Source organism: Homo sapiens, chromosome 17 (genome assembly GCF_000001405.40).
Source record: "Homo sapiens chromosome 17, GRCh38.p14 Primary Assembly".
NCBI lineage: Eukaryota > Metazoa > Chordata > Mammalia > Primates > Hominidae > Homo > Homo sapiens.
Window position 1 is genome coordinate 8,241,883 of NC_000017.11, and position 12,995 is coordinate 8,254,877.

The 12,995-nt window shown below is 48.2% G+C and overlaps 2 protein-coding genes across 20 annotated transcripts in view, besides 4 other annotated features; one reads left to right on the forward strand and one right to left on the reverse strand.

Moving 5' to 3' along the window:
* The window catches only part of CTC1 (CST telomere replication complex component 1), a 23,242-nt gene extending 17,068 nt beyond the window's left edge, over positions 1-6,174 (reverse strand). For all 14 annotated transcript variants that reach the window (NR_046431.2, XM_047436799.1, XM_047436801.1 and 11 more), the window contains exons 1-2: positions 6,122-6,174; positions 1,103-1,266 (exon numbers count right to left, since the gene is read on the reverse strand). Coding sequence is in view for 13 of the 14 variants with exons in the window: in XM_047436799.1 (XP_047292755.1) it covers positions 1,103-1,266; positions 6,122-6,154 (197 nt within the window). In the remaining variant the exon portion in view is untranslated. The remainder of the gene's footprint in view (positions 1-1,102; positions 1,267-6,121) is intronic.
* PFAS (phosphoribosylformylglycinamidine synthase) overlaps positions 5,726-12,995 on the forward strand; it is a 22,879-nt gene continuing 15,609 nt past the window's right edge. For 4 of the 6 annotated variants that reach the window (NM_012393.3, XM_047436296.1, XM_006721546.4 and 1 more), the window contains exons 1-3: positions 7,407-7,457; positions 11,977-12,197; positions 12,284-12,419. In NM_012393.3, the coding sequence (NP_036525.1) occupies positions 12,056-12,197; positions 12,284-12,419 (278 nt within the window). In that variant the 5' untranslated portion in view covers positions 7,407-7,457; positions 11,977-12,055. Of the gene's footprint in view, positions 5,975-7,406; positions 7,458-11,976; positions 12,198-12,283; positions 12,420-12,995 lie in introns of those variants that run through there. The other 2 variants (XM_024450804.2, XM_047436297.1) reach the window with 1 other exon arrangement.
* Positions 5,971-6,110: an enhancer, noted in NCBI's record as "active region_11690". NCBI's record gives its function as "activates an Ori minimal core promoter by ATAC-STARR-seq in GM12878 lymphoblastoid cells {active_cell/tissue: GM12878}" and the evidence as "EXISTENCE:reporter gene assay evidence [ECO:0000049][PMID:35858748]".
* Positions 6,201-6,250: a silencer, noted in NCBI's record as "silent region_8178". NCBI's record gives its function as "represses an Ori minimal core promoter by ATAC-STARR-seq in GM12878 lymphoblastoid cells {active_cell/tissue: GM12878}" and the evidence as "EXISTENCE:reporter gene assay evidence [ECO:0000049][PMID:35858748]".
* Positions 6,591-6,710: an enhancer, noted in NCBI's record as "active region_11691". NCBI's record gives its function as "activates an Ori minimal core promoter by ATAC-STARR-seq in GM12878 lymphoblastoid cells {active_cell/tissue: GM12878}" and the evidence as "EXISTENCE:reporter gene assay evidence [ECO:0000049][PMID:35858748]".
* Positions 6,835-7,591: an enhancer, noted in NCBI's record as "H3K27ac-H3K4me1 hESC enhancer chr17:8152035-8152791 (GRCh37/hg19 assembly coordinates)". NCBI's record gives its function as "activates a minimal SCP1, AML or CMV promoter by ChIP-STARR-seq in naive H9 embryonic stem cells {active_cell/tissue: H9 hESC(naive)}" and the evidence as "EXISTENCE:reporter gene assay evidence [ECO:0000049][PMID:30033119]".

A 12,995-nucleotide genomic window follows, 5' to 3' on the forward strand; every position in this document is an offset into this window, starting at 1 on the left:
GTATTTACATAGGGTACGGTACCATTTATTTAAAGTCTACACTTATGCAAAACTCTACATTATATTGCTTAAGGATAGATGCATGTGTAGTAAAACTATTAAAATATTTATTGGAATAATATATCCCATCTCCAAGATAGTGATTATTATTATTATTTTTTTTTAAATATGGAGTTTCGCTCTTGTTGCCCAGCTAGAGTGCAATGGTGCGATCTTGGCTCACTGCAACCTCCGCCTCCCGGGTTCAAGCGATTCTCCTGCCTCAGCCTCTGAGTAGCTGGGGATTGCAGGCGCCCACCACCACGCCCGGCTAATTTTTGTATTTTTTTTAGTAGAGATGGTGTTTCAGCATGTTGGGCAGGCTGACCTCGAACTGCCGACCTCAGGTGATCCACCTGCCTTAGCCTCCCAAAGTGTTGGGATTACAGGCATGAGCCACTGCACCTGGCCAATAGTGATTACTTCTATGAGGAGATAAATAGGTTTCTTTTGCAGGACTTGTCATAGCCTCTAATATGTTAATAAACCCTATGACTCTCCCAGAGACGTTTATCATATTCAATGTCCCTCACACTTACTTAGCTATGAACCCCTTTTCTTGTGCTTTACTAACGTTGCCTAGAACACTTTTGGAAATGATAGTGTAGAGAGAAAAAAAAAAAAAAAAAAAAATATATATATATATATATATATATATACACATATATATATAAACACACTCTCGGAAGCCCTAAAACTCACATCTTAAACACAATGATCTGCACTTGGTAATGTCAAACAGTTCTCTGTATCTTTGTTTCCCAATACACAAAATAAAGATAACACCAGCCTCTTTCCCCACTTCGAGAGTTCTTTTTCCAAATTTTCTTTCTCTCTTCCCCTCTTCCTCTCTTTTTCTTTAATCTTAAGCCAATTCAGGAGAACTTTAGGAAAAGGAAAGCTTGATAGTGTTAGAAAAGCTCTGCAGAAGGGGTATGTTTAGACTACCTTGTCCTCCGCTCACTCTCTCACTTGCCCTTTTTCTAATTATAGAACCTTACTTTTCAATCCTGAATTCAATACCTGCCCCTGCCCAGCCCCCGCAACCGCCACCTCTCCTTACCTATAGCTGAGGGGCAGTGTAGAACCTTGGTTCCTTCCCTGGGACAACCAGACAGTCTTCACACAATCAATTACCAATGGAGTCAACTGGACATTAGGCTCCTTGACAGCTGGACACAGGGTCTTTTGGATGAAGACCTGAGCATCCTCAAGCCAGGCTTGTTCCTGAGGAAAGTGAATTTAGTTAAAACATCTTGACTATCCGGCCCACCAAGGAAACTTGGGAAGAATAAAGGACTAGAAAAAAATATCCGGGCCGGGTGCGGTGGCTCACGCCTGTAATCCCAACACTTTGGGAGGCTGAGGCAGGCGGATCACTTGAGGTTGGGAGTTCGAGACCAGCCTGACCAACATGGTGAAACCCTGTCTCTACTAAAAACACAAAATTAGCTGGGGGTGGTGGTGCACACCTATAATTCCAGCTACTTGGGAGGCTGAGGCAGGAGAATTGCTTGAACCCAGGAGGCGGAGGTTGTGGTGAGCCAAGATCGAGCCATTGCACTCCAGCCTGGGCAACAAGAGGGAAACTCCGTCTCAAAAAAAAAAAAAAGAAAAGAATATCCAGAGGGCACATGAAATGAAGATCAAAAGTAAAGGAATTTAGAACTTGAAGAAACCTTAAAAGTCTTAGTCCAGCCATACCGTAGACAGCTGGCCATCCAGCTTTGGTCTTGCCCCTTTCTCTAACAAACTTGTACTCATGCCATCTTACATGGAATCTGGTTCTAAAGTCAGTACGTTGAAGACCAAGAATGGACAAAAACATTGTTGAACAATCCTTTAAACCGTTCATAAAGAACAGGACAGGCTGGGTGCAGTGGCTCACGCTTGTAATCCCAGCACTTTGGGAGGCCAAAGAGGGTGGATTGCTTGAGTCCAGGAGTTCAAGTACAGCCTGGACAACATGGCGAAATCATGTCTCTACAAAAATACAAAAAGCCAGGCGTGGTGGCACATGCCTGTGCTTCCAGCTACTCGGGAGGCTGAGATGGGAGGATCACCTGAGCCTGGGGCGGTTGAAACTTCAGTGAACCCAGATGGCGCCACTGCACTCTGGCCTGGGTGACAGAGTGAGACACTGTCTCAAAAAAACCAAAACCAAAAATGAGTAAGACATAGTGCCATACTATGTATAAGTGCCTAATAGTGGACAGTACATAAAAAGGACATAGGCAGAGTATAATTTTTAATCATCTCCTTTTTTTATTCAAAGGTATGCATTTCCCACAAACTAAATATATGCAAGATACAACCTCACTTGATTTGTTTCCTGTTGTCTTTTCAGCTAAGGTGTGGGCTTCCTGAGGAGGATATGGACTATCTTTGTATACCTGACACAGATTCTGGACACACACTTGCCATGATATGTAGATAACTTTAGGGAAAAGGACCAGTTTGGCCTACTCCCAGTGCTAGGCAGCTTTAACACACTTGGCAGTAGGCCCTTTATCCTTCTCCCTTAATGCTACTTCTAAGCCATTACAGCTCCTTCCCTGGTCCTCCAATGCTCATATATTAACATCCTGGTCAATCTTTCACATTCCTCTTTTTTTTTTTTTGGAGACGGAGTCTTGCTTTGTCGCCCAGGCTGGAGTGCAATGGCGCAATCTCGGCTCACCGCAACCTCCGCCTTCCGGGTTCAAGTGATTCTCCTGTCTCAGCCTCCCAAGTAGCTGGGATTACAGGCATCCACCACCACACCCAGCTAATTTTTTATATTTTTAGTAGAGACGAAGTTTCACCATGTTGGCCAAGCTAGTTTCGAACTCCTGAACTCAAGTGATCCGCCCGCCTCAGCCTCCCAAAGTGCCAGGATTACACACGTGAGCCACCACGCCTGGCCTTTCACATTCTTCTAATCTTAAGGAGCTCGAAAAGAGCTAGAAAAGCCAGTCTTCCATGGAATCAACCTAAATGCACATCAACAGTAGACTGGATAAAGAAAATGTGGTACATATACACCATGGAATACTACGCAGCCATAAAAAAGAATGAGATCATGTTCTCTGCTACAACATGGATGCAGTTGGAGACCATTATCCTTAGCAAACTAATCCAAGAACAGAAAACCAAATACTGCATGTTTGTTCCCACTTATAAGTGGGAGCTAAATAACGAGAACACGTGAACACAAAGAGGGAAATAACAGACACTGGGTCCTACTTGAGGGTGGGAAGAGAGAGATTGGAAAAAATACCCATCAAGTACTATGCTTAGTACAGGGGTGACGAAATAATCTCTATACCAAACCCCCATGACATGAGGTTACCTACATAATAAACCTGCGCACGTCCCCCTGAATCTAAAATAAAAGTTAAAAGGAAAAAAAAGTCTTCAAGTTCTAGATGTCTTCAGCATCCTTGTGGACAGCCCTACCACTGACTTTCAGCCCACTTCAGCCACACACTCATTCATGGTCAGAGTTGTGGAAGGCAGACCAAATCACCATTCAGAGTTGCCCCACCAGTATAAGCAAAGTTCCGACTCTCACGCTTTTTGTCTTCCTCTCCCAGTATTCTTTTGTAGTTCCTGTTTCTCGGATGGCCTATCCTTTGCTTGGTGCACTGAATACGACTGTCTCTCAAAGTGATCCCATGGCTTCAAGGTAAAATTACCTAAGTTTTGTTAAAAAGGCAAATTCGTGTTTTCATCTACTGAGTAAAAATGGAGCAGACTGGATGTGGTGGCTCTCGCCTGTAATCCCAGCACTCTGGGGGGCCAAGGTGGATCGCTCGAGCCCAGTAGTTCACTACTAGTCTGGGCAACAAGGCAAAGACCCGTCTCTACAAAAAAGAAAAATTAGCTGGGCATGGTGGCTCGTGCCTGTAGTCCCAGCTACTCGGGAGGCTGAGGTGGGAGGATCACCTGAGCCTGGGAAGGTTGAGACCCGCCTGGGCAACATGGTGAAACTCTAAAACAATTCAAAATTAGCTGGATTAGCCTGGCGTGGTAGCACATGCCAGTAGTCCCAGCTACTTGGGAGGCTGAGGTGGGAGGATCACCTTAGCCTGGGAAGGTTGAGACCCGCCTGGGCAACATGGTGAAACTCTAAAACAATTCAAAATTAGCTGGGTTAGCCTGGCGTGGTAGCACACGCCAGTAGTCCCAGCTACTTGGGAGGCTGAGGTGGGAGGATCGCTTGAGCCCAGGGAGGTTGAGGCTGCAGTGAGCCATGATGGTGCCACTGCACTCTAGCCTGGGTGACAGAGTAAGACCTTGTTTCAAAAAAAAAAAAAAAAAAAAAAAGGAGGGAGGAAGAGGAAGATCCAGATTAATACAGGCTGAAGTTTAAGAACACAATATGCTTTCCCACAATTATCTCAACCACTGCATGGGTTTAACAGCCATGGCCAGATGATGATTGTTCCTGTATGTCTACTTTAGCTGAGATCTCATTCCTGAGCTTTAGTCCTATCCATCTGCCAGACTCTCCATGGCCAATCCACAGGCAGCACACATGCCCAACACTGAACTTTCCACAAAACCCTGTCCTTTTCTAGAACTCTTCTAGTGTTATGTTCACTAACTTAGCAAATAGTACCCTTAACCAAACAGTTGTTCTATCCTGAAACCTAGATGTCCTCCTTAGCTCCTTCCTTTCCCTACATAGGTCCCAGTCCTGGCTGGGTGCAGTGGCTCACGCCTGTAATCCCAGCAGTTTCGGAGGCCAAGGCGGGCAGATCACGACGTCAGGAGATCGAGACCATCCTGGCTAACATGGTGAAACACCGTCTGTACTTAAAAAAAAGAAAAAAAATACAAAAATGAGCTGGGCATGGCGGCGCGTGCCTGTATGCCTGTAATTCCAGCTACTCGGGAGGCTGAGGCAGAAGAATCGCTTGAACCTGGGAGGCAGAGGTTGCAGTGAGCCGAGATCGCGTCACTGCACTCCAGCCTGGTGACAAAGCTAGACTCCGTCTCAAAACACACACACACACACACGCACACAAACCAATCCTTTAGATTGTATTTTCTTAACATCTTATTTATTTATTTATTTATTTATTTATTTATTTATTTATTTATTTGAGATGGAGTCTGGCTCTGTCGTCCAGGCTAGAGTGCAGTGGCGCGATCTCGGCTCACTGCAACCTCCACTTCCGTGGTTCCCTGCTCAGCTTCCTGAGCAGCTGGGATTACCGGCGTGTGCCACCACACCCAATTACCCTCATGTTAAAGTCGCTGCTTAGCAAGAGGTACAAAACTGTCAGCTCTGACCCCTCCACCACCACCCAACTGAACTTTTGAGTTTTTCAGACACCTGCTCTATCCTCCTGCCTTTGAATATGTGTTTGCTTCCGTCCTGAAACCCCTTCCGGCGCTTTTTTTTTTTTTTTTTTTTTTTTGACAGAGTCTCGCTCTGTTGCCCAGGCTGGAGTGCTGTGGCACAATCTCAGCTCACTGCAGCCTCCGTCTACCCGGTTCAAGCGATTCTCCTGCCTCAACCTTCTGAGTAGCTGGAATTACAGGTGCGCGCCACCACGCCCGGCTAATTTTTGTATTTTTAGTAGAGATGAGGTTTCACCATGTTGGTCAGGCTGGTCTCGAACTCCTGACCTCAAGTAATCCGCCCGCCTCCGCCTCCCACAGTGCTGGATTACAAGCGTGAGCCACCACACCCAGCCCCTTTCGGCGCTTTTTGCCTTCTACACGCACTTCGGGTCTCAGACGCTTTTACTTATTATGGTTGCCCTTTTCCCCTACAGCTCCGTCAAGGGTCTTCTCCAGGAACCCACAGCCCCATAGTTCCCCCATTAACCTGCTCCTGGTTTCCCACCAGGATTAAACCCTAGAGAGTGAACGGAGACCAGTTTAAGGCTCACAGCGGGCGCCGCGTGAATGAGGGAATAAACATTCGCAGAACCAGTAAGAGGTAGGAGCGGACCGACTCACAACCCCCTCACCCATGGGCCGGACGCGGCCAGCGAGCCCAGAGAGACAAGGCAGAGGAAATAGGAAGAGAAAGAGTATCTGTGACAAACAAGAAAAAAGGAACAAGAGACGTAATAGCAGCACTCACGGAGGAAGGGACCTGGGCCCGGCCAGCCGCCATGATGCGCCGGAGCTCCGCCCCCGGGAGGGGCAGGTGCTCGCTTGGGGGTGGGGATGGGGGTGGGGGGGCGCTCGGTGACGTCACCGGTGAGCGGGTTTCCTCGCCACCTCCAGCTCCTTCTCGCTGCTCACCCCCTCGCTTCCTAGAGACTCCGCGAGGCGCCTCGGTGCACCATCCCAACTCCCGACACCCCTGTCTCTTTTCTCTGATTTTTTTTTTTTTAAGACGAAGCCTGGTTCTGTCGCCCAGGCTGGAGTGCAGTGGCGCGATCTCGGCTCACTGCAACCCCCGCCTCCCAGGTTCAAGGGATTTTCCGGCCTCAGCCTCCTGAGTAGCTAGGATTACAGGCACCTGCCACCACCACGCCCGGCTAATTTTTTTTTTTTTTTTTTTTTTTGTATTTTTAGTAGAGACGGGGTTTCACCATGTGGCCAGGCTGGTCTCAAACTCCTGACCTCAGGTGATCCACCCGCCTCAGCCTCCCAAAGTGCTGGGATTACAGGCGTGAAACACAGCCCCTGGCCCTCTCTGATTTTTTTGAGACGAGGTCTCGCTCTATCGCCCAGGCTGGAGTGCAGCGGCGCCATCTCGGTTCACTGCAGCCTCGACCTCCCGGGCTCAAGCGATCCTCCCACCTCAGCCCACCAAGTAGCTGGGATCGCAGGCTTGCACCGCCACACCCGGCTAATTTTTGTATTTTTCTGTAGCGACATGGTTTCGCCATGTTGCCCAGACTGGTCTCGAACTCCTGGGCTCAAGCGATCTGCCCGCCTCGGGCTCCCAAAGTGCTCGGATTACAGGCGGGAGCCACCGCGCCCAGCCTCCGTCTCCCTCCTAAGTGACATCCTGTCCGGCATCCCGCAGGCCTTCAGATGGATGGGGTAGCAGAGCTCAGGAACTCAAACACAGCCCGCCTGGTGGATGACTTCTAAGCATCTTTCAGTCTCCCTGATCTTGCCAAGCAGAGAAGGGCTTCCTCGTAATGCCACCAAAGCACAACTTTCACATGCTTGCTTTATGGCCTTAACTAACTGATGTCATTACTTAACTGTCCCCGCGGGGACGGGGAACTGAATGTATTTTCACAAACGTCAGTTCAAGACAGATTTGTGGGAGAAACCACCTGGGGATAAACCTCTCCCCACCAAGAACCTAGAATTCGGCCGGGTGGCTGGGGAAAAGTGGGCGGGGCGTAGTCGCCCCGGCGCTGGCAGGTCCAGTCTCTGCCCGCGGCGCACGCGGATGACGTAACAAACGCGCGCGACGATTCGAGGTGCTCTGTGGCCGCGAGTGCATCTTCCACGTGAGTATAGTTACCGCGTGCGGACCTGGATCCTCCTCCAGGTGCAGCGTTTCGTCATCTAGCCCAAGCTTGGTCTGGCGGCTTCAGTATCCCCACCGGGCCGAGCTGTGTCTACTTGGTGCCCGCGTATTTGCTTTAGTGGAGGCGTCCATTCGTCCTATCTTGCGTGCGTTCCGCAGACCCCAGGCATGGCCGACCCCCATGTAAATTTAGCCCCATTGTCCCATTCATGGATTCAGCTAACAGAAAGACTGCCGGCCGCCTACTTTATATCAGGCACCATGCTGGTCATGGAATACAGCCCTCATGCACGCAAACCCTGTCTCTGAGCTCTTGAAGCTTATATTTTACTGGGAATGATAGACGGAAATCAAGTGGCTTAATAAACAAAATGCCTTCAGGAAGACTGTCCTGAAAGTTGGGGAGGGGCTGAAGAGTGGTGAGAATCAAGAGTTCATTAAGTCATTCCACAAGTTTTAGAATTTTTTTGCGTTTCAAGCCCTGGTATTGTTCTAAGCCTTGGTAATTCAATGGAAACGAAGCAGCAACATCCCATGCCCACGTAGAGATTTTTTTTCTAGTGGGGAATATAGAGCGAAAAATAAAAACATCCAATAGTGATAAGCGCTTTACAGGAAATTAAAATAGGGCCGGCCATCTGATAGTAACTACTTGAGTGGCTAGTGAAGCCTTTTCCACGAAGGCGAATCACCAGAAATCTAAATAACAAGAGCTAGCCATGCATATGTCAGGGTGAAAAAAATGCCTTCCAGGACTGAGCTTGGCAAGTTAGAGAAATAAAAAAGAAGCTAATGTGTGGTTGGTGCATTGTGGGTGAAAAAGAGAATGGTGTGAGATAGGGTTGGAAAGGTAGGCCAGAGAGTGGCCAGACTTGGTAAACCAGGATGCTGAGTTGGAATTTATACCATGTGTAATGGGAAGCCATAATCCACTTTATGCTGATGTGTGACAAATGAATTGTGGTTATGCAGTGGTCAGGAGGTTAATGCATTGGTCCAGGTGAGTGATGGTGGTGGCTTACTTGAACTAGAGTGAGGTAGTAGAGATGAAGAGATGAGAGATTTGAGACATGATTGGAAATAGATTTCCTGGTGGATTGGATTTAGAGAGTCTGAGGGAAAGAGAATTAAGGATGACTTCTGTGTTTTTGTCTTGAGCAACAAATTGGATGATGGTAGTGTTTACTGAGTGGCAAGACTAGGGGAACAGCAGAGTTTGGTGAGTAAAGCCAGGGTCCCGCTGAGAGGCAGTGGGACCAGAAATTGGATAGGTAGTTTGGGATAGATGGGGAGGGCCTTTGAATGTTAGGCTAAAAGTATTAACTGTAATAGTTCTGTTGCCTGATGCACACTGGAGGTCAATACACCAAGACACCAGGTTGCAGCAGAGAAAGAGGTTTAATCATAGGGCTGCTGAACAAGGAGACAGGAGGAAACCTCAAATCCATCTCCCAGAGTACTTTGGGGCTAGGGTTTTTAAAAAAGAGTTTGGAATAGGATTAGGATGAAGTGTGAAAATCATTGATTGAAGAGTGCAGGGTGAGGTCATGAAACAGGGAGATGAAGAAACTGATTCTCATGCTCACTTGGTTCCACTGTGGGAGTCTTTTTTTTTTTTTATTTTTTTTAATTTGAAAGATGAGGTCTGCCTGGCGCAGTCGCTCACGCCTATAATCCCAGCACTTTGGGAGGCTGAGGTGGGTGGATCACGAGTTCAAGAGATTGAGACCATCCTGGCGAACATGGTGAAACCCCATCTCTACTAAAAATACAAAAATTAGCTGGTCATGGTGGTGTGCACCTGTAGTCTCAGCTACTCGGGAGACCGAGGCAGGAGAATCGCGTGAACCCGCAAGGCAGAGGTTGCAGTGAGCCGAGATCGTGCCACTGTACTCCAGCCTGGCAACAGAGTGAGACCCCATCTCAAAAAAAGAAAAAGAAAGACGGGGTCTTGCTCTGTCACCCAGGCTGGAGTGCAGTGGCACAATCGTAGCTCACTGCAGCCTCAAACTCATGGGCTCAAGCGATCCTCTTACCTCAGCCTCTTGAGTAGCTGGGACCACAGGTACATGCCACCATGCCCCACTAATTTTTAATTTTTTTTTTTATAAAGACAGGGTCTTACCATGTTGCCCAGGGCTGGTCTCAAACTCCTGGGCTCAAGCAGTCCACTGCTTTGGCCTCCCAAAGTGCTGGGATTACAGGCATTGGGATTATAGGCGTGAGCCACTGCTCCTGGCTTCTGTGGGAGTCTTTGAGCTGGTGGAGTCAGCTGTTCTGCTGGAATTCAGGATCTGCTTAAGCAATTCTTTTTTTTTTTTTTTTTTTTTGAGTCAGAGTCTTACTCTGTCACCCAGGCTGGAGTGCAATGGCTCAATCTTGGCTCACTGCAACCTCTGCTTCCCAGGTTCCAGTGATTCTCCTGCCTCAGCCTCCCGAGTAGCTGGGACTACAGGTGCTTGCCACCACGCCCGGCTAATTTTTTGTATTTTTAATAGAGACAGGGTTTCACCACGTTGGCCAGGTTGGTCTTGAACTCCTGACCTCAAGTGATCTGCCCCTCTTGGCCTCCTAAAGTGCTAGGATTACAGATGTGAGCCACCATGCCCAGCCCTGCTTAAGCAATTCTTTTTTTTTGTTTTAATAATTTATGGGTCGGAATGGTGGCGCACGCCTGTAATCCCAACGCTTTGGGAGTCCGAGGCGGGCAGATCACTTGAGGTCAGGAGTTGGAGACCAGCCTGGCGAACATAGGGAAACCCCGTCTCTACTAATAATACAAAAATTAGCTGGGCGTGGTGGCGCATGCCTGTAATCTCAGCTACTTGGGAGGCTGAGGCAGGAGAATTGCTTGAACCCAGGTGGCAGAAGTTGCAGAGAGCCCAGATTGTGCCACTGCACTCCAGCCTGGGTGACAGAGTGAATCCATCTCAAAAAAAAAGAAAAAGAAAATAAATAAATAAATAAATAATTTATGACATGATATCATCAAGCAATAAATTCTTAAACAAAAGCTTTGTGATCAGAGATCCTTTTTTGTTTGTTTGTTTTTGTTTGTTTTGAGACAGAGTTTCACTCTTGTTGCCCAGGCTGGAGTGCAATGGCTCGATCTCAGCTCACTGCAACTTCCGCCTCCCGGGTTCGAGTGATTCTCCTGCCTCAGCCTCTCAATTAGCTGTGATTACAGGCACGCATCACCACGCCCGGCTAATTTTGTATTTTTTTTAGTAGAGATGAGGTTTCACCATGTTGGTCAGGCTGGTCTGGAACTCCTGATCTCAAGTTCTCACTGTGTTGCCCAGGCTGGAGTGCAGCGGCTTGATCACTGCTCACTGCAGCCTCCGCCTCCCCAGGCTCAAGTGATCTTCCCACCTCAGCCTCCCTAGTTGCTGGGACTACAGGCACATGCCAGCACACCCAGCAAATTTTTGTATCTTTTTTGAGAGAGATGGGGTTTTTGCCATGTTGCCCAGGTTGGTCTCGAACGCCTGTGCTCAATCCTCCCACCTCAGCCTCCAAAGGGCTAAGATTACAGGTGTTAGCCACTATGCCCCGCCCAATCTGGCCTCTTCTTATAAGGGCAGATTATAAGAGGTTTGGTGAGATTAGTAGCTCATTCTTGAGAGTTCCACTTTCATGACCTAATTACGTCCCAGAGGCCCCACCTCCAAATACCATAACATTGAGGATTAGGGTTTCAATATATGAATTGGGAGGGGGAGATACACAAACATTCAATCCATGGCTGATACCATTTCTCTCAGGAAATTTTTCCTGACACCTGAAGTGCAGGATTGGTGTCCACAGTCCCCTGACCTTCACCACACGGGACTGGAAATGTCTGGGTACTTGGCCTTTCTCCCCCAATAAAATATAAACCCTGTGAGAGCAGACAGAGTTTCTGTCTTGATTCACAGCGGTGTTTCTAAGACCTTGACTGGGGCCCAGCAAAGTGCATGTACTCCAGGAACACGTGTCAGGTGTGTGCCTGTACACCTCCCTACCACATTAATAAAGACCACATTTTGCAAGATTCCTTAAAATCTCCAAGGTTACATTTTTCAGGTTACCTTGTTTCTCTAAATGTCCATATTACTTTCCCCTACCCTATCCATAACGCCGCAATTTTCCTTGAAATCTGAAATCAGTTCAACAGATAGGCCATAGTTAATGTTATTTTTATTTTATTTATTTATTGAGACGGAGTTTTGCTCTTGTTGCCCAGGCTGGAGTGCAATGGCGCGATCTCGGCTCACTGCAACCTCTGCCTCCCGGGTTCAAGCAGTTCTCCTGCCTCAGCCTCCCTAGTAACTGTGATTACAGGCGCCCGCCACCACACCCAGCTAATTTTATATTTTTAGTAGAGACAGGGTTTCACTATGTTGGCCGGGCTGATCTCCAACTCCTGACCTCAGGCAATCCACCTGCCTCAGTCTCCCAAAGTGCTGGGGTTACAGATGTGAGCCACCACGCCCGGCTTAGTTAATGTTATTTTTTAGGAACCTAATTCATCTCTCCAGCAAAGGACACATCTCTCCAGCAAAGGACACCTCTCTCCAGCAAAGGACACCTGCAGAGATGTCCCCAGTCCTTCACTTCTATGTTCGTCCCTCTGGCCATGAGGGGGCAGCCCCTGGACACACTCGGAGGAAACTGCAAGGGAAACTGCCAGAGCTGCAGGGCGTCGAGACTGAACTGTGCTACAACGTGAACTGGACAGGTTGGGCCCAGGTATTAGATTCTTGGGGGACATGCCTCGGTGCTGGGGGCAGTGTCTCAAGGTGTCCTTGCCCTGTCTCCCTGCAGCTGAGGCCCTCCCCAGTGCTGAGGAGACAAAGAAGCTGATGTGGCTGTTTGGTTGCCCCTTACTGCTGGATGATGTTGCTCGGGAGTCCTGGCTCCTTCCTGGCTCCAATGACCTGCTGCTGGAGGTCGGGCCCAGGTAAGTATCTCATCCTGCCCACCCCTTTCTTCTGCTTTCCTTTGCTTCCTCTTGTGATCCTTGGGAGATTTGCTTTTCCTTTGCTCTTTGCTACTTCCTGCCTAGGAAACCACACATGTGCTTTCCCCATTTGGGTAGATCCCTCCAAAGACCTAGCCTGCTCCAAAACATGTTCTCAAAGCAAAATAAATTAGATTCCAAGTTAAAATCAAACAGTTTTGGCCAGGCGCGGTGGCTCACGCCTGTAATCCCAGCACTTTGGGAGGCCGAGGTGGGGCAGATCACGAGATCAGGAGATTGAGACCATCCTGGCTAACACGGTGAAGCCTCGTCTCTACTAAAAATACAAAAAATTAGCCGGGTGTGGTGGCGGGCGCCTGTAGTCCCAGCTACTAGGCAGGCTGAGGCAGGAGAATGGTGTGAACCCGGGAGGCAGAGGTTGCAGTGAACCGAGATCACGCCACTGCACTCTAGCCTGGGCAACAGAGCAAGACTCTGCCTCACAGAAAGAAAAAAAAATCAAATAGTTTTGATGCTAGAGGACAGTTTTGGTTTGGTTTGAGTGTACTTTAAAAG